Source organism: Homo sapiens, chromosome 11 (genome assembly GCF_000001405.40).
Source record: "Homo sapiens chromosome 11, GRCh38.p14 Primary Assembly".
Taxonomy (NCBI): Eukaryota; Metazoa; Chordata; class Mammalia; order Primates; family Hominidae; genus Homo; species Homo sapiens.
This window is the reverse complement of record NC_000011.10, coordinates 67,562,646-67,587,194: the sequence shown is the minus strand read 5'-3', so window position 1 is coordinate 67,587,194 and position 24,549 is coordinate 67,562,646. Positions and strand designations below refer to the sequence as shown.

Here is a 24,549-nt window from a genome sequence, read left to right as displayed (position 1 = left end):
CCTGCCCTACAGCATCTTACTGGCTTAGCTTCTCTGGAGAATCCTAATACAGTAGTGTCATTGCTTGCCTAGGATGCACCAAAACTCACAAGTCAGCAGGAAGCCAGGAAAGCCCCCATCCAAGCAGAATGACCCTCCCACCAACCTGGGCTGCTCAGAGCTACTCAGCTAATCCCCCAGGACAGGGAACTCCTCACATCCCTCCTTCCCAGAATCCCTCATTTCCCTCCATCCTGGAGTCTGTCCATCTGACAGGCACGTGCTGTGCCTAGAAAGCATGTTTCTATGAGACTTTTCTCCTTCTATATACACTGTGTGGTGCTCCAGGACAGTGACCATGGTTATTTCTCTTTGTTTCTCTCTCTCTTTTTTTTTCTTCCTCTTCTAGTTTGTGAGGTTCAGTAAACACAGCCAGGCTGAGGGCTCCAGGAAGCCACTGACTGTGCTGGAGGAGCTGTTTTCTAGTCCTCTGCTCTGCCCTCCCACCGACCTCGAGGCTGAGAACCCCTAAGCCCCGTCCCAGGAAACACAGTGCTCATAGTAGCTCTCTTAGAAATTTTATTGGTCCTGGAGAAAGGAAGGCAAACTCTGCCTCCCGCTCAGAGTCCCCCCAACCCTCACTGTTTCCCGTTGCCATTGATGGGGAGGTTCACGTACTCAGGGGAGGCCAGGAAGGCCTTGAGCTTGGGCCGGGCACTGAGGCGCCCCACATATGCTGAGAGCAGGGGGAACGCATCCAGGCAGCCAGGGGCTAGGACCTCATGGATCAGCAGCAAGTCCAGCAGGTTGTAGTCAGCGAAGGAGATCTGCAGGGCAGGGGGGCCAGGGACTCAGCCAGCGGGAGCAGGCTGGAGGAATTGGGGGCAGAGGGCCTAAGCCCATCCCCTAGGTCTGCTCTGCTTTGCTAAACAAATGGCTCACACCTGTGTCCATCTGGAAGCAGAGGGTGGCGAGGAAGGAACAGCATGGGGCCAGATGCTCACCTGGTCTCCCACAATGAAGGTCTTGCCTCCCTGGTTCTGGGACAGCAGGGTCTCAAAAGGCTTCAGTTGCCCGGGCAGTGCCTTCACATAGTCATCCTTGCCCGCCTCCTGCCAGACACCACCATGTATCATCCTACTCTCATCCCTCCCAGCCCCTGAGACACCCCCGTCTGCCCCAGGCCAGACACCAGAGTCCCAGATTCTCCTCTGCTTGCTCCCCACAACCAGGCTAGTACCAAATCCTGTCCACTTCAGCTGCCAACTCATCTCTATTCCATTCTGCCTGTCCATCCTTGCTGGGTTCTCTCACCAGATGATTGCAAAAGCTTTAGAGCTGGCTTCTCTGGAGGATCCTTCTAGACCTCACATTCAGACACAGCCCTGTTCAGACTTCTCAATGGCCCCCATTGCCCTTAGGAGACTCCAAACCAGTGGGTTCAAGGCCTTCGGGACCTGGGCCTACTGCCCGCCCATCTCTATCTCCTTACCCACCCGACACAAATGCAAGCGTACACACACACACGCACACACATGCACACGCACGCGCACACACGCTGCCTCTGCTGAACTGGTCCCAGGTCCCCAAATGTGCTCTGTGTCTGCATATTTTCCTCAGCTAAAAGTGCCAGCACCTCCATCCAGAAACTGGCGACAAATCCTCCTCCACCTCTGGCTACTCCAGGAAGCCCTCGCCACCCCAGGAGATCAGAAACCACCAGTTGCTGGAGGTCTCTGTCCTTGCACTCGCCCCCATGACCCGTTACTTGGCTGGTTGATGTCCCAGGCAATAAGGGTGCAGGTTGTGTCTTGTCCCAGGCCCCTGGGCCCCTGGCCCAGAGCTGACCCAGCCCCTGCACCCTGACCCAAGAAGGGGTCAGCCCAAGCCACCTGAGGGGTAAGGGGGGTGAGGGCACAAGAAGCCCCTTTCTTTGTTCAGCCCCCAGTGCCCAACCCTGGTGCAGATGCTCACATAGTTGGTGTAGATGAGGGAGATGTATTTGCAGCGGAGGTCCTCCACGCCGTCATTCACCATGTCCACCAGGGCTGCCTCCTGCTGGTCCTTCCCATAGAGCCCTGGGGTTGGGTGGAGGGGAGCAGGCCGCGTGACTGGGCGCCTGATCAACACACAGTCACTGGGGATGGGCCAACCAGGGGGCTGTCTGTGAGCCCCAGCCTGGGAGGAGGGGAAGAGGATGTGCGTGGAAGGATGAGAGACTGCCACACAGCAGGTGCTCAGAGCTCACCTGACACCTGGGAGGCAGCCTGGCACAGGGCAAGGATTGCAGGCACCCAGGCTTGACCTTGGGCAAACTACGTAACCTCAGTGGGTCTCAGTTTCCTCCACTCCAGAGGGCTGCGGGGCAGCTGATTTAAACAAAAGGGCTCCGGGGGCAGAGGCTTGCCCATGCCTGCCCTGGACTTGGAGGTTCAAGACTCACCAAGGGTGCGGCCCAGGTGACGCAGGATGGTATTGGACTGGTACAGGGTGAGGTCTCCGTCCTGGAACTTGGGGAGCTGCCCGTATAGCTGTTGGGGGAGGCATGGCTCAGGGAGGGGCACTGAGCTTGGGCGTCCCCCGATCCTAGTCACAGCCCCCTAAGGCCCAGCACCCCCTCCCCTTGCCCGGGCATGGTCACTTACGCAGGAGGCTTTGAGTGAGCCCTCCTGCCACGTCTCCACGGTCACCACCTCCTCCTTCCAGCTCTGGCCCTGATCTGCCAGCAGCATGCGCAGGGCCGCGCAGCGGCCTGCGGGGAGGGAGAAGTACGAGATGTGGGGACCGGGCCGACTCCGCCTCGCAGCAACCCGGGGAGGGGTCAGGAGTGCAGGGAGGGAACAGGGAAACAGGTTCCTCCGAAGATTTCACACAACACTGGGGCGGGGAGCAGGCATGGCGGGAGAGGCGGGGAACAGGAAGGAGGCCCGGGGTAAAAGCCACACGACGGAGGGATAAGGGGGTTCGGATCTCTCCGGGTGGGCGAGGGGCTGTGGGCTGCAGCCCCAGCCCCTGCCTCCCTTCCCTGCCAGACACATGCTCCTACCTCGAACTGGGAAATAGACCACGGTGTAGGGCGGCACTGCAGCGAACAAAGAAAAGTTTGCTGGAGCCCGGGGGAGGATGCCAAGGCGCGGTGAGCGCAGTCTGCCCCCCCTCCCCGCCCCCGGGGTCCCATCCCTCCCCGAGGCGCTCCGGGCCCCCTGAAAGCCGCTAACGGCACTGGGGACGTCCTGGGTCCCCTAGGCCCCCGTCCCGGGTCTCGAGGTGGGCGAGGAGCCCTGCCGGGAGCCCGGGCCTGATGCTGCGGGTTGGCCCCATGCTGGGAGCTCTGAGCCCCATCCCCGGGGACGCGGGCCGCGCGTACTCACTGGTGGCGAAGACTGCGGCGGCGAAACTCCAGCGAAGGCCTCGCGGCCTCCGAGCCTTATAAGGGTGGTCCCGCCCCGCTCCGCCCCAGTGCTGAGTCACGGCGCCGGCCGCTCTTCTGGAGGGTCCCGCGGACTCCCGCCGGCCCCAGCCCCGGCGGCCGCTGCACCCCGGGCGTCGGCCGCAGAGGGGCGCCCTGGAGTCCCCGGAGTCGCCGCGCAGCTGGCCGGGGAAGCCTTTCCCTCTTTCCCAGGTCCCCAGCGGGGCCTAGGGAGTAAACAGACAGCAGGAAGAGGACCGCAGCGAAGTGTGCGCAGCGAACTGGCGCGCCGGGACATCGCGGGGGGAAATTCCCTAAGACCGCTGCGATCCCGGAGCTTGCACACCCGCTTCACAGGGCAGGGGAGAGGGGTGGAGGCCGCTTAGAGGAAAGGAAATTGCTTTATTTTATTTTATTTTATTTTATTTTTTTATTTTATTTTATTTTATTTTATTTTATTTTATTTTATTTTATTTTATTTTATTTTGTGTTATTTTATTTTATTTTATGACGTAGTCTCACGCTGTGGCCCAGGCTGGAGTGCAGTGGCGCGATCTCGGCGGCTCACTGCAACCTCCGCCTCTCGGGTTCAAGCAATTCTGCTTCAGCCTCCCGAGTAGGTGGAATTATAGGTGCGTGCCACATCTGGCTGATTTTTGTATTTTTAGTAGAGACGGGGTTTCACCATGTTGGCCGGGCTGGTCTCGAACTCCTGACCTTAGGTGATCTGCACGCCTCGGCTTCCCAAAGTGCTGGGATTACAGGCGTGAGCCACCACGCCTGGCCGTCCAACTTTTATTTGAAGTTCTGGGGTACATGTAGAGGATGTGCAGGTTTGTTACATAGGTGTGTGCGCCATGATGGTTTGCTGTACAGATCATCCCATCACCCAGGTATTAAGCCCAGTATCCCTTAGCTATTCTTCCTGGTACTCTCCCTCCCCAGCACCCCGCTCAACAGGCACCAGTGTGTGTTGATCGCCGCCATGTGACCATGTGTTCTCATTGTTCAGCTCCCACTTATAAGTGAGACCATGCGGTCTCGCTGGTTTTCTGTTCCTGTGTGAGTTTGCTGAGGCTAACGGCTTCCAGCTCCACCCATGTCCCTGCAAAGGACATGATCACGTTCCTTTTAGTGGCTGTGCCTTAGGCTATTTTCTTTGGCTTTGCTGCCTACTTTCTGTTGATTTGCAGATCTCCATTTATTCTAGATATTGATCTCTTGTTGGCTTTAGACATGACAGACAGCTTCTCCTATTCCATCAACTGTCAAGTTTGTCCAAGGAGTCTTTCATGAAACAAAACTCGTTAATTTAAGTGTAATCAAATTCAGCAAGGGATTTTTGTGGTGGGGAAGAGGTTGGTGTTTATGTTGTATCTTTAAAACTTCATTTAATGCAGCCATTAAAAAGAACTAGATCATGTCTTTTGTGGGAACATGGATGGAGCTAGAGGCTATTATCCTTAGCAAACTAATGCAGGAACAGAAATCCAAATACTGGATGTTCTCACTTGTAAGTGGGAGCTAAATGATGAGAACTTATAACACAAACAAGGAAACAACAGACACTGTGGTTGACTCCAGGGTGCAGGATGGGAGGAAGGAGAGGAGCAGAAAAGAGAACTATTGGGTACTCGGCATAATACCTGGGTGATGAAATATTCTGTACAACAAACACCGAAGACACGAGTTTACTTATGTAACAAACCTTCACATGTACCCCCAAAACAGAAATAAAAGTTAAAAAACAAAGAAATTTCATTTAAAAGTCTTTTTTAAGAGACTTATTATCGGGGGAAATTCAGCCCCCAATATTTCACGTGGGTCCTTTCCTATTTTCCCTAAGTGTCGGCTGGCCTGAGAAATAAAGGGAAAGAGTACAAAAGAGAGACATTTTAAAGCCGGGTGTCCAGGGGAGACATCACATGTCCGCAGGTTCCGTGATGCCCCCTGAGCCGTAAAACCAGCGAGTTTTTATTAGCAATTTTCAAAGAGGAGGGAGTGCACGAACAGGGTGTGGGTCACAGAGATCACATACTTCAAGGGCGACAAAAGATCACAGGGCAGAAGGTCACGGCGAAACTAGAATCACTAATGAACTTCCAGGTCCCACTGTGCACGCACTGTCAGGGTTCAAGAGCAGAGAACCGGTCTGACTAGAATTTGCCAGGCTGGAATTTCCTAATCCTATCAAGTCTGGGGGTGCTGCAGGAGACTAGGGCGTGTTTCATCCCTTTCTACTTCTGAATAAAGGCAGGCACTCTCAGGGAGGCCATTTCAGTGGCCCGGCCCTGGGAATGCATTCTTTTCTCAGGGCTGTTAATTATTAATATTCCTTACTGGGGAAAGAATTCAGCGATATTTCTCTTACCTGTTTGCGGTAATAAGAGAAGTATGGCTCTGTCCTGCCCAGCCCACAGGCAGCCAGACTTTAAGGTTATCTCCCTTGTTCCCTGAAAATTGCTGTTATCCTGTTCTTAAGATGCCCAGATTTCACATTGCTCAAACACACAACAATTGTCCTCTACAAACAATTTGTGCAGTTAACGCAGTCATCACAGGGTCCTAAGGCGACATACATCCTCAGTTTACGAAGATGACAGGATTAAGAGATTAAAGACAGGCATAGGAAATCACAAGAGTATTGATTGGGGAAGTGATAAATGTCCATGAAATCTTCACAATTTATGTTCTTCTGCCATGGCTTCAGCCAGTCCCTCCGTTCGGGGTGCCTGACTTCCCACAACATGTATGTTGCCGCAGCTGGTCTGGAACTCTTGGCCCCAAGTGATCCTCCTGCCTTACTTAGCCTCTCGAATAGCTGGGACTACAGGCATGTGCCACCACACCCAGCTAATTTTTGTATTTTTTGTAGAGATGGGGTTTCACCATGTTGCCCAGGCTGTCCTTTTTTTTTTTTTTTTTTTTTTAAATTTTCACCAATGGACTGAGGTCACAAGGAAGCTTTTTAAATTTTTGTCACCTTGGGTTTTCTTTAATTTCACTCTAATTGTCTAGCTTTGGTGCTCTTCCTGGCTTGCCAAGCTGTCTCTCTGGTTTGGCCTCTTGGCCCTTCGGTCTGAGGTTGGTCATCTTTCTTCAGTTTTGAGAAATGTATCTCCATTGTTTCTTCTGAGATGCCCTCTTCTCCGTCTTCTTCCTCTTCCTCCTCCTCCTCCTCTTCTTCTTCTTCTTTCTTCCTTGCACTATCTGGAAAATGGCCCTTCTAATCTATCCTCCTATCACTTTACTGCCTTTTTTTTTTTTTAGACAGGCTGTCACTCTACTGCCCAGGCTGGAGTGCACTGGCACCATCTCAGCTCACTGCAATCTCTGCTTCCTGGTTCAAGTGATTCTCCTGCCTCAGCCTCCTGAGTAGCTGGGATCACAGGTGCCTGCCACCACACCTGGCTAATTTTTGTATTTTTAGTAGAGACAGGGTTTCATCATGTTGGCCAGGCTGGTCTCAAACTCCTGACCTCAAGTGATCCACCTGCCTCGGGCTCCCAAAGTGCTGGGATTACAGGCGTGAGCCACTGCGCCTGGCCACTTCGATGTCATTTGTGTTTCTTCTGGTTTGTCTTTCCTGGGAGAGAGTTCCCCAGCTGATCTCATCACTCACCTCTTCATCCATGAGTCGCATACCTCGTATGATTCATCCCATCTGTTGTTGGCTTTCTTCGATTATTGTTTTTATATCTACTCTTTCTTTTTGTTGCTTTTTGTAACTTCCTATTGCCAGTGCCTTCTCTCATGTCCTCATGATTTCTCTTGTGTGTATTCTCCGTCTGTGTGCTGCACTCATTCAGCGTCAGGGGATGTTCCTGTCCCCTGAGATGTCTCCCCTGGAACCAGTGAGCTTGTGCCCTTCCCTTGGTGGCACTGGTCATTCTCTCGGGTAGTATGCCAGCCTGTGGTTTCAAAGCAAAGGAAGGAGATAAGCACCACCAAACCACAGCCAACCTCTCCCCTTTGCTATCGCTCTTCAAACAGAGCTTGAGGTCAGAGTTTCCCCTTCCGAACCTTGGGAAGCAGCGCTGGGGAAGGTGGCTCCCCATGTTCTAATGTGCTGGTGCTGGGTGTTTCCAGGGGAAGTGTGGGAGGGAGAAAGCCCGCCCCATTCAGTCCCACTGTTCTCCCCAGTGCCTCACCCAGCAGAGGGTAGCAGAGGCTAACTTCGGTTTAGCCTGCACCAGGGTCAGTGTTCAGCAGTGACATCCCCTCAACAACTCCAGAGAGTACTAATAAAGGAACTGAATGCAAACTCCTTCCTTCTGGCATCCTACCACAGCCACCTCCAGCCACGCTCAGTCTCCACCCACACACACATCTCCACGCGCATCTACTCACATCCCTGTACACCCAGACACACACAGGTTCAACACAGCCTGCAGCCTCCAGGAGGGGCGACGTCTCACTTTATTTGTTTAATTTTACTGTTTTCCTGAAATCTCTGTTTCTCTCTGTGGTTTCTCCCATATTTCTACCGGAGAGGGCAACGAAAGCTCATGATAGTTCACCATCTAAATCAAGGATTGGGACACTATGGACCGTGGTTCATCACCTGCTTGTGTAAATAAAGTTTTATTGGGCCCCAGCCATGCTCACTCATGTGTGTGTTATCTATGTTTGTTTTTGTGCTACAGTGGCCCAAATGAGTGATTGCAACAGAGACTATGTGGTCCTCAAAGCTTAAGATATTTTCTTTTTTCTTTTTTTTTTTTTGAGATGGAGTCTGGCTCTGTCGCCCAGGCTGGAGTGCAGTGGCACGATCTTGGCTCACTGCAAGCTCCACCTCCCGGGTTCACGCCATTCTCCTTCCTCAGCCTCCAGAGTAGCTGGGACTACAGGCGCCCGCCACCACACCCGGCTAATTTTTTGTATTTTTAGTAGAGACGGGGTTTCACTGTGTTAGCCAGGATGGTCTCGATCTCCTGACCTTGTGATCCGCCTGCCTCAGCCTCCCAAAGTGCTGGGATTACAGGTGTGAGCCACCGTGCCCGGCCAGCTTAAGATATTTTCTGTCTACATTTTCAAGAAAAATTTGCTGACCCCTGATCTAGACCAAGGTCCAGACCCCAGCCTCAGGAAAAGCTAGACTTCCAATGTCACCCATTCGACCTTCACCAAGAGTGGCTCCATAGCAATGCCATCTTCCCCTTGCAGTACCCAGCGCCTCCCTGATATCTCGGCAGCACAGGAGGGTTCCAGGCCAGGGTGGGAGCCATTGAGATGCTCCTGAAATGTACTGTGAGGATGAGCAGATCTGGTCCAGCTTAATCTTCAAAGTTCTGAACTCTTATCCAAGGTGAAGGTGCCCCAGTGGCCTCACTGAGCCCAGGCGCAGGGATGGGTGGGCCACAGGCATGGGTTCATGCTTCCCTGAAAGGAGTTGAGGACGCTCATCTCAGGGCTGGGAGCTCTACTTGGTGCTTGGAGCACCAGTTGTCCCGAGCAGGTGGACTGAAGCTGGGAAAGCCCTTGGCCTCTGTCCCTTTCTTGGTCTTGATCCACGGCTACCCTGTGCCCACCAAGCTGCCATGTGCAGCCTGACCAAGGGCTGGGGCTCCGTCAGGGCAGCAAAAGCTAAGCCGGGGTTGACTGCCCAGCTCAGCAGGGCACGGAAGCAGGCTTGGGCTTCAGTCCAACACTTTTCCAGAGACAGCTACCGGCGTGGGGGCTGGATGGCCAGTGCTCCAGGCCTTTGCCCACATCATTTGTGGTGTCCCAGCCAAACCTGACTAACTGGGGCTGCATTTAGTGGCTTAGCACTCAGAGTCATCCTCCCTAAACCCCCCAGAGTAACTGGAAGCCCAGTTCATCTTCTGTCCTTGCTAGAGCAGGGCCCATGGGTGGCAGTGAGCCTTTTCCAGGGTGTGTCCACTCGGTGCCAGGATGCCAGTGTTGACGGTGCTTCGGGGATGGTGGGGACAGCCTCGGACCCCGCTGACAGTCACATTCCTTCAGACTGCATCTGAAAGTCACCTTGTCATCCAGATAGACAAACCCTCACCTCTGCACTGACTCTCCAGGGCTGGCGGCCAGTGTCCTGCCTGCTTTCCTGAAAGCCCGGAAAGATGCAGTTAGCAGAACAGCTCTTCAACGAATCAAGCGATAAAGAAGATAAGCGCCCTGCCCTCGCGGCACTTACAATATCATCTTCCATCCATGGCCTCAGGGGCGAGAGCGCAGCCTCTAGGCCGGGCAGTCTGGGATCAATTCCTGGCTCCTCCCTCACCCTCTGCAACCTTGGCCATGCTACTTGCAACCTCATGCTCCCTTTCCTCACTTGCAGTGAGGACAAGCTGAAGGGTTCAACGAGACGATGCTTCACGCACAGCGAGTGCATGGTAAGTGCCAGCAGCAGTCACTCATACTCTGCCTGCCTGATCCCCTGGGGCTGCATGGCCCCATCCTGCTGAACCTTCCCGAAGGAGACCCTCGGCTTCCCCTCCTCCTGCCTGAGGGGACTCTGCAGAGGGTGGGGGCTCAGAGTCCCCTGGGCTGAGCTCAGGCCCCATACCTCTGGTCCTCTCCCGGATATTTCCAAATGCCAGTTCTGCTGCCAGGATCTCCGCCCCCGCCAAGACTGGCTCCAGGGACTGAGGGCGCTGACATGCTCTGGGTTCAATCCCAAAGCACCCCCGAGAGCCTTCCCACACCTACCAGGGGCCAATGAGCTTCATCCCAGAGTGGGAGAAGCACCCGGCCTCAGGAGTCAGGCCCAGAGGAGGCTTTTTCCTCCCTGCTCCCAACACGTGTCTTAGGATACCCACCAGGGGACCCACCCACCTTGCCCCTCCCCTCCAGGCTAAGCCCCAGGCATCATCCATCTCAGACCCAGTCCTGCCTGTCCCAGACCCAGTCTCCAAGGTTCTAGCACCCTCCTGAGGCAACACCAAAGAGTGCAGAAGCGAGGACAGCTCCCCTAAAGAAAGAGACATGCAGCTTCAGCCTGGAGGGGACCCAGAGCAGCAGAGCTGCACCGCCCCCCACCTTCCTCCTTGAACACATGTTTCCTGGGCACCTACTATGTGCCAGGCATGGCTGAAGGCACTGGGGACGCAGAGGGAAGAAGACAAAGTCCCCGCGCTTTGGAGCTTGCGTTTTATCTACTTCTCCATGTGGAGGAAGACTGTCAATAAGTGTTCACAGGAAAAAGGGTGTCAGTCCCTCTCTCTGTGTTGGAAAAACTACCCAGAATTATTTCTATAATCACCCCCTGCTGTCTTAGGCTGGGTCTCTCAAAAGGCAGAGCCCAAGACGAGGCTTGTATGCAGTGGCTTGTTTTGGGGAGTGGTTCCAGGGCACGGGAGTGGAGGATGATGGAGAGTGGGACAGGGCAGGAGGACGAGCCCCTCCGAGGTGCGTCATCGGGCTGGCATCTAGGGACTTCTGAGGAGCCAGGTGGGACAGAGGAGAGGGGACTGTATGTCCTGCCTCCCACCCCATCACTCAAGGGCTCATGACTGCTGACGCCCTGCACTCCAGGTCTCATCTGAGACCACCAGGGAGGTTCCAGCAGGTGATCTGTGCTAGAGAGGCCTCAGGGCAGAAACTGATAGCCACAGGTGTTCTGAGGCAGGGGCTGTCAAGTGTCACCAGTGGGAAGCTGATTGTGGCAGCCGTGGCTGGAGACCAGGCGGGCAGAGAGCGTGGGGTGTATCAAGGGGCGGCAGGCCCGGGGTCTCCACACGCCCCATCTTCCTGATGTTCCTCTTTCCTTTTTTTTTTTTTTTTGGGGGGGACGGAGTCTCTGCCACCCAGGCTGGAGTGCAGTGGCACAATCTCAGCTCGCTGCAACCTCCACCTCCTGGGTTCAAAGCGATTCTCCTACCTGAGCCTCCTGAGTAGCTAACACTCGCCACCACGCCCAGCTAACTTTTGTATTTTTAGTAGAGATGGGGTTTCACCATGCTGGCCAGGCTAGTCTCGAACTCCGGACCTTAAGTGATCCACACACCTCAGCCTCCCAAAATGCTGAGATTACAGGCATGAGCCACCATGTCCAGCCTGTTTGTTTATTTCTTTTCAGAGACAAAATCTTGCTCTGTTGCCTAGGATGGGGTGCAGTGGCACAATCACGGCTCACTGCAGCTTCTACCTCTCGGGCTCAAGCGATCTTCCCACCTCAGCCTCCTGAGTTGTTGGGACCACAGGCACGCACAGCCACATACGGCTAATTTTTAAAACTTTTTGTCCTGGTGGGGTGGCTCACGCCTGTAATCCCAGCACTTTGGGAGGCCAAGGCAGTCGGATCACCTGAGGTCAGGAGTTTAAGACCAGCCAGGCCAACATGGTGAAACCCCGTCTCTACAAAAATACAAAAAAAATTAGCCAGGCATGATCGCGGGTGCCTGTAATCCCAGCTACTCCGGAGGATGAGGCGGGAGAATCACTTGAACCCAGGAGGTCTCAAAAAAAAAATAAACAAATAAAAAGAACTTTTTCATAGAGACCGGGTCTTGCTGTGTTGCCCAGGCTAGGAGGCCCAGGTTTTTAAGTTAAAAAGACAGAGGCAGTTCCTAAGTTGTTTACCAAGAATTTACAATAAAATAACATAAGTTATCAACTGGCTGTACATTGTTCTTTGTATCACAAATCCCAGGAACATGAACATAATGAGTGAGGCAGGAAACAGGAATGAAATGCCTTTAAACAATTGCGCGGGTGGGGTGTGGCTGCAGGTGTGAGGGTCGCTGGAGTTTCATGATCACATCTCCCTGAGCCTGATGAATTTTTCAGACTTTGCACAGCTAAGACTTCTCTGAGCTACTTTTCTTTGCTCATTTCCCTCCTTTTCATCAAGATCTTTCAAAAAAAGCAGCATCTCAAGTGAACTCATTTTCACTCCTTAGTCTTAGCCTTGTATCTCTAGGAAGGCTCCTCCCTGGCTGGTCCCGTCTGATGCTGTGGGATGCCGGGGGAGAATACATCTCAAAGAGGAATTTTAAGAGCACCAAAAGCCAAATTAGGATGGCATTGCAGGGTGGCAAAAATGAGACCTCCGTCTGATTTATATACCTGCTGTCACTTCGTCTCTAGTGTTCAGAATACAATGAGCGTAGTTTTCTCGGGAGTAAAACAGGCCAGGTGTGGTGGTTCACACCTGTAATCCCAGGACTTAGGGAGGCCAAGGTGGATGGATTGTTTGAGCTCAGGAGTTTGAGACCAGCCTGGGCAACATAGTAAAACCCTGTCTTTACAAAAAAGTACAATAATTAGCCGGGAGTTGTGATGTGTGCCTGTAGTCTCAGCTACTCGGGAGGCTGAGGTAGGAGGATCCCTTGAGCTCAGGAGGCGGAGGCTACCGTAAGCCAAGATCACACCACTGCACTCCAGCCTGGGTGACAGAGCCAGACTCTGTCTCTTAAAAAAAAAAAAAATGGAGGGGTGTATATAAAAATCACAACCGGCCAGACGCGGTGGCTCATGTCTGTAATCCCAGCACTTTGGGAGGCTGAGGCAGGCAGATCACCTGAGGTCAGGAATTCGAGATCAGCCTGGCCAACATGGTGAAACCCCATCTCTACTAAAAGTGCAAAAATTAGCCAGGTGTCGTGGTGGACACCTGTAGTCCCCGCTACTCAGGAGGCTGAGGCAGGAGAATCGCTTGAACCAGGGAAGCAGAGGTGGCAGTGAGCTGAGATCGTACCACTGCACTGCACTCCAGCCTGGGCGACAGAGCAAAACTCTACCTCAAAAACAAAAAAAGAATCACAACCAAAGAATTTGTATGTCAGAATGACAACAAAAACCTATTCTATCAGGGAATCAACTAAAAACATCAGGAAGAAAATTAAAACCCAGTCCTTCTTTAGAGACTTGTGGCCAGGAAATAATTCAAGATTTAGTCAAAATTGTAGGAAAACAATAAAATCTCAAAAACAATGGTCAGGGCTGGAATCTAATAACAGATGTGCCACAGTTTGCTTTTTAAAGATTGATTCTCTCTCACTCTCCAGTTCTGCATTTCTATCAAAAGAAATCTTAGTAGGGCTGATTTTGTTGCCAAATAAGTTTTAGTATTATACTTGGCCTGATTATTTGTAAAAAGTGCAATGAGAATAGTGAATGGCCATACAGGCTCTTTTAAATTGGCTTTGCTGGAGCTTTTTCATGAAGAATCTCAGGTTGGACTTTTGAAAGCCTCCCCAGGCTTTGAAGCCAACCCATGGATTCATGATCAGCCTGTGCCTGTAGTACCTGTATGAATTGGGTGAATTCCTCTCTTCTCAAGGTCCCAAATATCTTGAGGTTCCTGGGCTTGTCAGAAAGTGACATTCTTTCCTTACCACAATGTAGGGTCCAGCCCTACAGGGCCTATGGGTTTTTCTCTTCGTGTGCGGAGACGAGAGATTGTAGAAATAAAGACACAAGACAAGGAGATAGAAGAAAAGACAGCTGGGCCTGGGGGACCACTACCACCAAGACGCGAAGGCCCAAATGCCTGGCCGCGCTGATAATTATTGTATACAAGGCAAGAGGGCAGGGTAAGGAGCGTGAGTCATCTCCAATGTAAAGTCCAATGTAAGGGTAAGGTCACGCGAGTCATGTGTCCACCGAACGGGGCCATTCCCTGTTTGGTAGCCGAGGCGGAGAGAGAGAGGGGACAGCTTACGTCATTATTTCTTCTATGCATTTCTCGGAAAGATCAAAGACTTTAATACTTTCACTAATTCTGCTACTGCTATCTAGAAGGCGGGGCCAGGTGCACAGAGCGGAACATGAAAGTGGACCAGGATCGTGACCACTGAAGCACAGCATCACAGGGAGACATTTAGGCCTCCGGATGGCTGCGGGCAGGCCTGGCTGATGGCAGGCCTTCCACAGGAGGTGGTGAAGCAGAGTGTTCTCTAACTCCCTGGGGGAAAGGGAGACTCCCTTTCCCAGTCTGCTAAGTAACAGGTGCCTTCCCAGGCACTGGCGTTACTGCTAGACCAAGGAGCCCTCTAGTGGCCCTTGTGCGGGCTTGACAGAGGGCTCACATTCTTGCCTTCTGGTCACTTCTCACCGTGTCCCTTCAGCTCCTAATTCTGTATGGCCTGGTTTTCCTTAGGTAATAAGTATAGAACAGGTAATAATTATAGAACAGAGATTAATATAATAAAGAGTAATGCTACAAACTAATGATTGATAATATTCATATATAATCATGTCTATATTCTATTTCTAGTATAACTATTCTTATTCTAATTATTTTCTTTATTATGCTGGAAGAGCTCATGCCTTCCGTCTCTTGCCTCGGCACGTGGGTGGCTTGCCGCCCACACCACAAGGTCAGGAAGCTTGTAAGGGAACCATAAAAACCAGGTACCAGACCAATCTCTCCAAGGGACTTTTTACTGGCTCTATAAAATCAGCCTCAACTCCTCAAAACAGTCTGGCTGTATCTGAAAATATGCCAGTACAGTCAAAGCCTTGGTAAAATTACGAGTGTCTTCAGTGTGCCCAGTTACAAAAGAAAACATAGTCTTACTGAACTTATGCAAATAACTGTATTGCAATAAAATAAGAATCGTCACAAATAGTGTCCAAATTTTGGAGAAATCAGGTAGAGAGAAAGGTAAATATTTCAATTTTGCTCACAAAAGTATACTTTGCCCAATGGCTGTGAGTTATAAATAGCTCAAAAGAAAAAGTTTTCTTGTTTCTAGAAAACAAAATATAAAAAGAATCAGCAACGTTTCAAACAAACAAAAGTCATAAAAATCATTTTAGTCCCCTATCGGTTCTGTCCTACGTAATTAATTCTCGTTCTGCTTGATGTTGTGTTCACAATCTTCATGAATGCATCAGTTCTTTATTAGGGTTCTGGAAGTTTTTACTTAGTTCAGTGGTATGATCTCTAAAGTTACCAGAGCAGGGTGCGGTAGCTCGTGACTGTGGTCCCAGTGTTACCAGATGGAAAGTCTTGACTGTGAGTTGTCCAGGTTCTTGGCGTGTTGAACAAAGAACTGAACAAAATGCACAAAGCAACAGAAGATGAAAGCATAGATGTATTAAAGCAAAAGTACGCTCCACAGAGTGGGAGCAGGCTCAAGCAGCCCCAATTACAATATGCTTCAGGGTTTTTATTAAGCCAAAAGAATTTGGTAACACCATAGGTGCCCTGCAGAGGCTTCCAATTGGTTACACCCTGTAAGCGATTGGCCCGTGACCAATCAGAGGCTGAAGTGCAGACCCTGCCTGTGGTCAATCGGAGGCAGAAGTGGAGACTCCTGTCTTGTTATCACAGGAGTGAGGACGTGGCCTGCGTGCTGCCTAATCTTGCCTAGAACTGGCTGCCCCTGCTGTTTTTTGCTTATGCCTTAACCCTTTGTTACCCTAATTCCCTGTTCTCCTATCTTACCAGCACTTTGGAAGGACAAGGCAAAAGGATCACCTGAGGTCAGGAGTTTGAGACCAGCCTGAGTGACACAGAAAGACTGTACAAAAAATTTAAAAATTAGCCAAGCGTGATGGTGCATGCCTGTAGTCCCAGCTACTCGGGAGGCTAGGGTAGGAGGATTGCTGGAGCCCAGGAGGTTGAGGCTGCAGTGAGACATGTTCACACCACTGCAGTCCAGCCTGGGTGACAGAGTGAGACCCTGTCTCAAAAAACATACACAAGCAAACAAATATTTAATTAATAAATAAATTTACTGGAAACCTATACTCAAGAGTACTTTTCAGCATCGTTTTCTGTGAATTTCCTTAAGAAGCAAATTTTGGACTGTAGCTGATTATAAACTAATTTTTGAGAATCAAAGTAAAACAATAATTGTCTGTGGATGACAAAAAACTTAGACTAGCCATGGTTAAAGATGCAACTGACAAGGAAACTTGGTTATTTCTGTGACATACAAAAATTTAACAACATTATCACTGAAAACATATACCGAGACATGTCATTTTAAGAATCTCATACAATTTTGGAACACATATTAATAACACATTTATAGAAATATAACTCAAAGAAAGTTAAACACCAGCTGGGCGTGGTGGCTTATGCCTGTAATCCCAGCACTTTGGGAGGCCAAGGCGAGTGGATCACGAGGTCTGGTGTTCGAGACCAGCCTGATTAACATGGCAAAACCCCATCTCTACTAAAAATACAAAAATTAGCTGGGTGTGATGGGGTGCGCCTGTAATCCAGCTACTCAGAAGGCTGAGGCAGGAGAATTGCTTGAACCTGGGAGGTGGAGGTTGCAGTGAGCCGAGATTGTGCCACTGCACTCCAGTCTGGGCGACAGAACGAGACTCCATCTCAAAAAAAAGAAAGTTAAACACCATTTCTTATTTGACAATGCTCCGTATATGATTTTAACATACCAAATAAGCCCAGTATTTCTCTCTTGGACTTCCAAGGGCTCCTATTTCTTGTGTCCAAGATAGTTCAGATAAAAAAAGACTTAATTAACTTTGGGAAATATGTCAAAAATTTTTCTAAATTTGAAATTTAAATTAGGTGCCCAGGTGTGGTGGCTCACCCCTGTAATCCCTGCACCTTGGGAGGCTGAGGCGGGTGGATCACTTGAGGTCAGGAGTTCAAAACCAGCCTGGCCAACATGGTGAAACCCCGCCTCTACCAAAAATACAAAAATTAGCCAGCCATGTTGGTGTGCACCTGTAGTCCCAGCTACCAAGAGGCTGAAACAGGAGAATCATTTGAACCCAGGAGGCAGAAGTAGCAGTGAGCTGAGATCACGCCACTGCACTCCAGCCTGGGCAACAGAGTGAAACAACTGTCTCAAAAAAAACAAAAATTTTGAAATTTAATTTTTGGAAGTATGTCAAATATTAAAGGTTCAAAACACTTGATATTAAAATAAGTAAGGTTTGGCCGGGCACAGTGGCTCACGCCTGTAATCCCAGCATTTTGGGAGGCCGAGGCGGGCGGATCACGACGTCTGGAGATCGAGACCATCCTGGCTAACACGGTGAAACCCCATCTCTACTAAAAATACAAAAAAATTAGCCGGGCGTGGTGGCGGGCGCCTGTAGTCCCAGCTACTCAGGAGGCTGAGGCAGGAGAATGGCGTGAATCTGGGAGGTGGAGCTTGTGGTGAGCCGAGATCGCGCCACTGCACTCCAGCCTGGGCAACAAGAGCAAGACTCCATCTCAAAAAAAAATTAAATAAATAAATAAAATAAGTAAGGTTTAAAACACATAATCAAAATAGGATACAGGTTACTATAAAATAAAAGTCATTAATTTAGGCCAGGTGCAGTAGCTCATGCCTGTGATTCTAGCACTTTGGGAGGCAAGGCAGAAGGATCACTTGAGCCTAGGAGTTTGAGAACAGCCTGGGCAACATAGTGTGACTCTGATTCTATAAAAACAAAAAAGTCAAATATTAGCCAGCCTTGCTAATATTTAAAATTTTTTTTAAATAGAGACAGGGTCACACTATGTTGCCCAGGCTAATATTATTAGCTAATCGGGAGGCTGAGGCAGAAGGATCCCTGGAGCCCAGGAGCTTGAGGCTGCAGTGAGCTATGATCTTGCCACTGCACTCCAGCCTGGTGACAAAGTGAGCCCCCATCTCTAAGAAAAAATATTTTTTTTTTTGAGACGGAGTCTTACTCTGTCACCCAGGATAGAGTGCAGTGGTGCGATCTTGGCTCACTGCAACCTCCACCTCCCGGGTTCAAGTGATTCTCCTGCCTCAGCTTGCCTGTAATTCCTGAGTAGCTGGGATTACAGGCATGCACCACCATGCCCAGCTAATTTTTGTGGAGACCAGGTTTCACCATGTTGGTCAGGCTGGTCTTGAACTCCTGACCTCAAGTGATCCACCTGCCTCGTCCTCCCAAAGTTCTGGGATTACAGGCGTGAGCCACTATGCCTGGCCTCTAAGAAAATTTTTTTAAAAAGTTATTAATTTAGCCAAAATGATAACTCAAAGATTTCAAAAAGCAAAAAACTTTACTCTTGGATTAGAGAGGAGACTCAGTTTCCTAAACAATTTAAATACCCAATAAAGATAGCCTGAGGCAAACTCTCCCACTCATTTTTTTTTTTTTTTGCAGTTTATTCAAAAGGTAAACAAATCTTTCACTATCTCTTTTTTTTTTTTTTTGAGATGGATTCTTGCTCTGTCAGCCAAGATAGAGTGCAGTGGTGTGATCCCGGCTCACTGCAACATCCGCCTCCCAGGTTCAAGAGATTCTCCTGCCTCAGCCTCCCGAGTAACTGGGATTACAGGTACCCGCCACCACGCCCGGCTAATTTTTGTATTTTTAGTAGAGATGGGGTTTCACCATGTTAGTCATGCTGGTCTCGAGCTCCTGACCTCGTGATCCGCCAGCCTCGGCCTCCCTAAGTGCTGGGATTATAGGCATGAGCCACCGCGCCCGGCCTAGTATCTCTTATTAATACAACGCTAAATTCTTGTTCAAAGGAGAAAACCAAATTTTACCTTATACTAATGTATTATCAATATGAAAGCCAATTTTAATAAAATATTACAAACAAATTCAACCAATCTCAGTCAGCTTTGACCACACAAGGTAAGATTTCCATAAATCTTTCTTTACCTCTTGGGATTTTCTATTAAAGAGCAGGTCACTGCTGAGCGAAAACCCTGTTGTTCCGACACAGGCTCAGCCTCTGGCCTTGCATCAGTGCTTTTGATATTAATGCTCGCTTTTTAGAAAAACTTATAAATAATTCCCTTCCAATTTTAACCAACTTGATCACACACAAAATTTCTCTCATGAGATTAATCTCCTGTAAATCTACGACTTGCTTAAACCTTCAGTTTTATCCTATACTCCCTTTTTTATGTTAGCATTCAATCTTAGAACAAAAATTTACCTTACTTTCCCCCTTGTCAGTTTTTGGTTTTTCTGTTTGAGATGGAGTCTCGCTGTGTCTCCCAGGCTGGAGTGCAGTGGCACAATCTCGGCTCACGGCAACCTCCACCTCCTGGGTTCAAGCGATTCTCATGCCTCCACCTCCTGAGTAGCTGGGATTACAGGTGTGTGCCACCATGCCCAGCTCATTTTTGTATTTTTAGTAGAGACAGTGTTTCACCATGTTTGCCAGGCTGGTCTCGAACTCCTGACCTCAAGTGACCCACTCGCTTTGGCCTCCCAAAGTGCTGGGATTACAAGCGTGAGCCACCATGCTCGACCTATTTTCCCCCTTGTCAGTTTAACCACACAGAGTTTTCTCATGCAAAAGAAAAGCATATTCCCTCTTTTCAACTTATTTACCAAAAACACATTTTTTTTTCTAGACCAGTTCTCACTCTGTCACCCAGGCTGGAGTGCAGTGACATGATCATAGCTCACTGCAGCCTCAAACTCCTGGGCTCAAGCAATCCTCCTGCCTCAGCCTTCCAACCAAAAACATGTCTTACTTTCTGTATACACTCTATAGATAGAATTGTTTCTGTTATAGTTAGTATTTTTACTTACATATATTAACTAAAATTTTAAGTCTTTTTTTTTTAATGGAGTCTCGCTTTGTCACCAGACTGGAGTGCAGTGGTGCAACCTCCATTCACTGCAACCTCTGCCTCCCAGGTTCAAGCAATTCCCCTGCCTCAGCCTCCCAAGTAGCTGGGACTACAGGCATGCGCCACCATGCCCGGCTAATTTTTTTGCGTATTTTAGTAGAGATGGGGTTTCACCATGTTGGCCAGGATGGTCTCGATCTCCTGACCTCGTGATCCACCCACCTCGGCCTCCCAAAGTGCTGGGATTACAGACGTGAGCCACTGCACCCTGCCAAATTTTAACTCTTAGTAATCCTAATTTGCAGTGAAAAACCTAGGAAGTATGTCATTTTAAACTGTTTCTTTCTGTTTGTTTGTTTTTGAGACGGAGTCTTGCTCTGTCGCCCAGGCTGGAGTGCAATGGCGTGATCTCAGCTCACCACAACCTCTGCCTCCCAGGTTCAAGCGATTCTCCTGACTCAGCCTCCTGACTAGCTGGGATTACAGGCGCCCACCACCATGCCTGGCTAATTTTTGTATGTTTTTAGTAGAGACGGGGTTTCACCATGTTGGCCAGGCTGGTCTCGAACTCCTGATCCGAGTGATCCACCCGCCTCGGCCTCCCAAAATGCTAGGATTACAGGTGTGAGCCACCGTGCCCGGCCTTAAACTGTTTTATACCGGTATTTGTAGATGAAAACCATTTCATAATATTTTTAGAAAAATGTTTTATTGGTTTTTTGTTTATTAACAGATCTAAATATATTTAGTTTTTCTATACCATATAAACAACTCAGACATTTTATGATGATGAATTACTTAATATGTCGTTAACATAACGGCATTAAGTTTCTGCAAAAGATGTTTGAAACTATGAAAAGTTCCTTTTTAAACTTTTACCCCATTGACATTTATTTAATTTATTCATTCTCAACAATTATGCTTGAATATTTCAATAAACAAAGCTCACCATCCTCCTAAGTTCTTTCTTTCTTAATCATTTTTATAGCCTTCAAATGTTAGGCAGTCATCACCTAAGAGCTCTGTTGAATGTTGGCATTCAACTTTCGAACATAAATTTACTTTACTTTCCCCCTTGTCAGTTTTTGGTTTTTTGTTTGAGAAGGAGTCTCGCTCCATCTCCCAGGCTGGAGTGCAGTGGCGCAATCTCAGCTTACATACATGGGTATTTTGCTGATCAGAAGACAGAGCTGGTTTTTTGGTTTGTTTTGTTTTTTGTTTTCTTATTCTCTCTGAGAGCTGTTTTTATTAAGCCAACTATCTTATTATAGCTGCAAATGGGTTCCAATCCACATTTCTGTCCAGCCACATTCCAGGATCTCACCTTTTTGAGACAGGATCTTTTTGTGTCATCCAGGCTGGAGTGCAGTGGCATGATCATGGCTCACTGAAGCCTCAGTCTCCTGGGCTCAAGCTATCCTCCTACCTCAGCCTCCTGAGTAACTGGAATTACAGGTGCACACCACTGTGCCTGGCTAATTTTTTTTTTTTTTTTTTGGTAGGGACACAATCTCGCTATGTTGCCCAGACTGGTCTTAAACTCCTGGGTTCAAGTGATCCTCTAGCCTCGGCCCCCTAAAGTCCTGGGTTTATAGGCATGAGCCACCATGCCCAGCCAAGCCAACAATATTGAACTAGTCTTATTTACCAAAAATGTACCCAAGTCATGTGAACTAAAAGATTTTTGAGTTAGTTTCTGTTTTCCTGATGAAACATTTGATTAAAACACTTTCTTTTACCGTAAGCTAATTAATTGGAGCTCTTTCATATATTTTGGCGGTGAAATATCACAAACACATGACATATAAAAATATATAGACGTGGTCGGGTGCGGTGGCTCATGCCTGTAATTCCAGCACTTTGCGAGGCCGAGGCGGGCTGATCACAAGGTCAGGAGTTCGAGACCAGCCTGGCCAATATGGTGAAACACCATCTCTACTAAAAATACAAAAATTAGCCAGGCGTGGTGGCACACATATGTAGTCCCAGCTACTCAGGAGGCTGAGGCAGAAGAATCAATTCAACCCGGGAGGCAGAGGTTGCAGTGAGCCGAGATCGCTCCAGCCTGGACGACAGAGTGAGACTCTGTCTCAAAAAGAAAAATCTATATATCTATATATAGATATAGAGGTGTAAAGACACACAGAAGAAGCAGAGTTTTTGATTTTGGTTTTGGGGTTTTTTGTTTTTTGTTTTCGGTTTTTTGTTTGTTTGTTTGTTTGTTTGTTTGTTTGTTTTTGAGATAGAGTCTTGCTCTGTCACCCAGGCTAGAGTGTAGTGGTGCAATCTTGGCTCACTGCAACCTCTGCCTCCCCAGGGTTCAAGTAATTCTCCTGCCTCAGCCTCCTGAGTAACTGGGATTACAGGCGTGCACCACCGTGCCTGGCTAATTGTTTTTTTTTGTTGTTGTTGTTGTTGTTTTGAGATGGAGGTTTGCTCTTATTGCCCAGGCTGGAGTGCAATGGCATGATCTTGCCTCACCGCAACCTCCACATCCCAGGTTCAAGTGATTCTCCTGCCTCAGCCTCCCAAGTATCTGGGATTACAGGCACCCACCATCATGCCTGGATAATTTTTGTATTTTTAGTAGAGACGGGGTTTCACCATGTTGGCCAGGCTGGTTTCGAACTCCTGACCTCAGATGATCCATCTGCCTTGGCCTCCCAAAATGCTGGGATCACAGGCATGAGCCACCGTGCCCGGTCTTAGCTTGTTTCTTGATCACATAACTGACTTCAGGGTGAAGCTTATTAAAGAGCTTCACCCTGAAGCAAAGAAAGCATTCTCCATGCCTGGACTCAGCATGGATAGCTCTGAAAAAGAAGAAAGGCTACTTTACCTGAAGGCCTATCATTTATGAACATTTAATTCACCTTAAAAAAAAAAAGTTCCTTTTCAAGTGACTCACCAAAACCAGTAACCCTTAACCAAGGTTATGACTTAGCCAAGAACACACAAGACATCTCCAAAGAAGTGCAAAGTGATCCTCACGAGATCCAGAACCACCCTAAAGACAGCTCAAAGAAGGAAAAGTCTCACTGTTACTGGAAAGGGGTCCCGATCGAGACCCAGGAGAGGGTTCTTGGATCTCACGCAGGAAATAATTCAGGGTGAGTCCATAGAGTAAAGTGAAAGCAAATTTGTTAAAAAAGTAAAGGAATAAAAGAATGGCTACTCCATAGACAGAGCAGCCCCGAGAGCTGCTAGTTGCCCATTTTTATGGTTATTTCTTGATGATATGCTAAACAAGGGGTGGATTATTCATGCCTCCTCTTTTTAGACCATATGGGGTAACTTCCTGACGTTGCCATGGCATTTATAAACTGTCACGGTGCTGATGGGAGTGTAGCAGTGAGGACGACCAGAGGTCACTCTCGCCGCCATCTTCGTTTTGGTGGGGTTTGGCCGGCTTCTTTACTGCAAACTGTTTTATCAGCAAGGTCTTTATGACCTGTATCTTGTGCCAACCTCCTATCTCATCCTGTGACTCAGAATTCCGTAACCGTCTGGGAATGCAGCCCAGTAGGTCATTCAAGATGGAATTGCTCTGGTTCAAATGCCTCTGACATCACAAGCTGCAAATGGAGCGTGACCCACATTTCTGTCCAGCCATATTCCAGGATGTCACCTTCTCAGCCGACCACCTATGCATAAAGGCTCAAAATCCCCATATGCCCCACAGATGGGAAAAAACAGGAAATCGGAAGCTGCCCATGGGAAGGACGAGGACCAATAACAAATGGCTACCCAAAAGGTGAAGAGTCACTCCAATAATTTAAAACAAACAAGACTGGTTCCCTGACCAGGAGTCCAACCCGGGCTGCCGCTGTGAATGCCCGGAATCATAGCCACCAGATCCCATTGCTTTGTGAGGCCTGCAGCAGAAGCAAAGCAGGCAGTTTGAACATGTAAAGGATTTTAACTTGTTTCAGATCTGATCTCAACTAGAACATGGCTTAGCCAATTCCCTGGAAGTTAACATTTCAAATACCTGGTAAGATTTACATCTCCAAGGGACTGTGAAGTCCAGCAGGGCTTTTAAAGGGTATTGTCCGATATTGGGTCAATAAATCATCAGTGTCATTCATTCATCCTTGTTTAGAGAAAAAAAAATGTTGGATCTGTATTTTATAATGTTAGTAAGTCATTCTCATTGTGAAGTGGTTCCATTTGTTTCCTTTGTTCCAAATTTAGACACATTCCCCCCTTTGGAGAGAAGGAAATGTGTGTATTGTGGAATTCCAAAAATCTCTGCCTGAGAGATGTATGGGAGCCGAGGGAACTAGCAGAGAGAGGTGAGTTCAGATCGCAGGGGAGAGGACGAAGGGGCAGCTGGAGGAGAAAGAGAAAAAGCCTCCGAAGTCTTTCTTAATTTAGAACTAGTTTCAAATATCCTTTTGTTTACCTCTTGAATGGAGGCAATTTTTTCTCTCAGAATGTCTTTTAGAAGCTTCTAGGTGCTATTGGAAGTAAGTCGCTCATTCCATTTGTTTAGTTCTTTTTTTTGGAGACAGAGTCTCGTGCTGGAGTACAGTGGTGTGATCTTGGCTCACTGCAACCTCTGCCTCGCGGGTTCAAGCAATTCTCCTGCCTCAGCTTCCTAAGTAGCTGGGATTACAGGCGACTGCCACCACGCCCGGCTAATTTTTGTATTTTTAGTAGAGATGGGGTTTTGCCATGTTGGCCAGGCTGGCCTCAAACTCCTGACCTTAA

General features: G+C 48.8%; 1 protein-coding gene across 1 annotated transcript, besides 6 other annotated features; it reads right to left on the bottom strand.

The window, feature by feature from the left end:
• Positions 435–504: an enhancer, noted in NCBI's record as "active region_5110". NCBI's record gives its function as "activates an Ori minimal core promoter by ATAC-STARR-seq in GM12878 lymphoblastoid cells {active_cell/tissue: GM12878}" and the evidence as "EXISTENCE:reporter gene assay evidence [ECO:0000049][PMID:35858748]".
• On the bottom strand, positions 542–3,383 carry GSTP1 (glutathione S-transferase pi 1). The gene is made up of 7 exons (NM_000852.4): positions 3,351–3,383; positions 3,026–3,061; positions 2,625–2,731; positions 2,423–2,510; positions 1,954–2,057; positions 984–1,091; positions 542–806 (listed from the first exon to the last, which is right to left on the bottom strand). Coding segments are annotated over exons 1-7 (633 nt in total). The 5' UTR covers positions 3,352–3,383; the 3' UTR covers positions 542–617.
• Positions 3,004–3,153: a silencer, noted in NCBI's record as "silent region_3646". NCBI's record gives its function as "represses an Ori minimal core promoter by ATAC-STARR-seq in GM12878 lymphoblastoid cells {active_cell/tissue: GM12878}" and the evidence as "EXISTENCE:reporter gene assay evidence [ECO:0000049][PMID:35858748]".
• Positions 3,164–3,783: a silencer, noted in NCBI's record as "silent region_3645". NCBI's record gives its function as "represses an Ori minimal core promoter by ATAC-STARR-seq in GM12878 lymphoblastoid cells {active_cell/tissue: GM12878}" and the evidence as "EXISTENCE:reporter gene assay evidence [ECO:0000049][PMID:35858748]".
• Positions 3,471–3,613: a silencer, noted in NCBI's record as "fragment chr11:67351053-67351195 (GRCh37/hg19 assembly coordinates)". NCBI's record gives its function as "represses an EF-1alpha promoter that drives an FKBP-Casp9 reporter gene in an ReSE screen in K562 erythroleukemia cells {active_cell/tissue: K562}" and the evidence as "EXISTENCE:reporter gene assay evidence [ECO:0000049][PMID:32094911]".
• Positions 7,723–7,822: an enhancer, noted in NCBI's record as "active region_5109". NCBI's record gives its function as "activates an Ori minimal core promoter by ATAC-STARR-seq in GM12878 lymphoblastoid cells {active_cell/tissue: GM12878}" and the evidence as "EXISTENCE:reporter gene assay evidence [ECO:0000049][PMID:35858748]".
• Positions 23,012–24,211: an enhancer, noted in NCBI's record as "BRD4-independent group 4 enhancer chr11:67330455-67331654 (GRCh37/hg19 assembly coordinates)". NCBI's record gives its function as "activates an origin of replication core promoter dependent on BRD2, P300/CBP, MED14 and CDK7 cofactors, and independent of BRD4, by STARR-seq in HCT116 cells {active_cell/tissue: HCT116}" and the evidence as "EXISTENCE:reporter gene assay evidence [ECO:0000049][PMID:35650434]".

What these genes read in the sequence shown, in the direction of transcription:
- GSTP1 (NM_000852.4), bottom strand. An exon ending in TCACCTGGGCCGCACCCTTG is followed by an intron (nt 2,058 to 2,422) that starts GTGAGTCTTGAA and finishes ACCCAACCCCAG; the next exon opens with GGCTCTATGGGAAGGACCAG. An exon ending in CCTTCATTGTGGGAGACCAG is followed by an intron (nt 807 to 983) that starts GTGAGCATCTGG and finishes CCTGCCCTGCAG; the next exon opens with ATCTCCTTCGCTGACTACAA.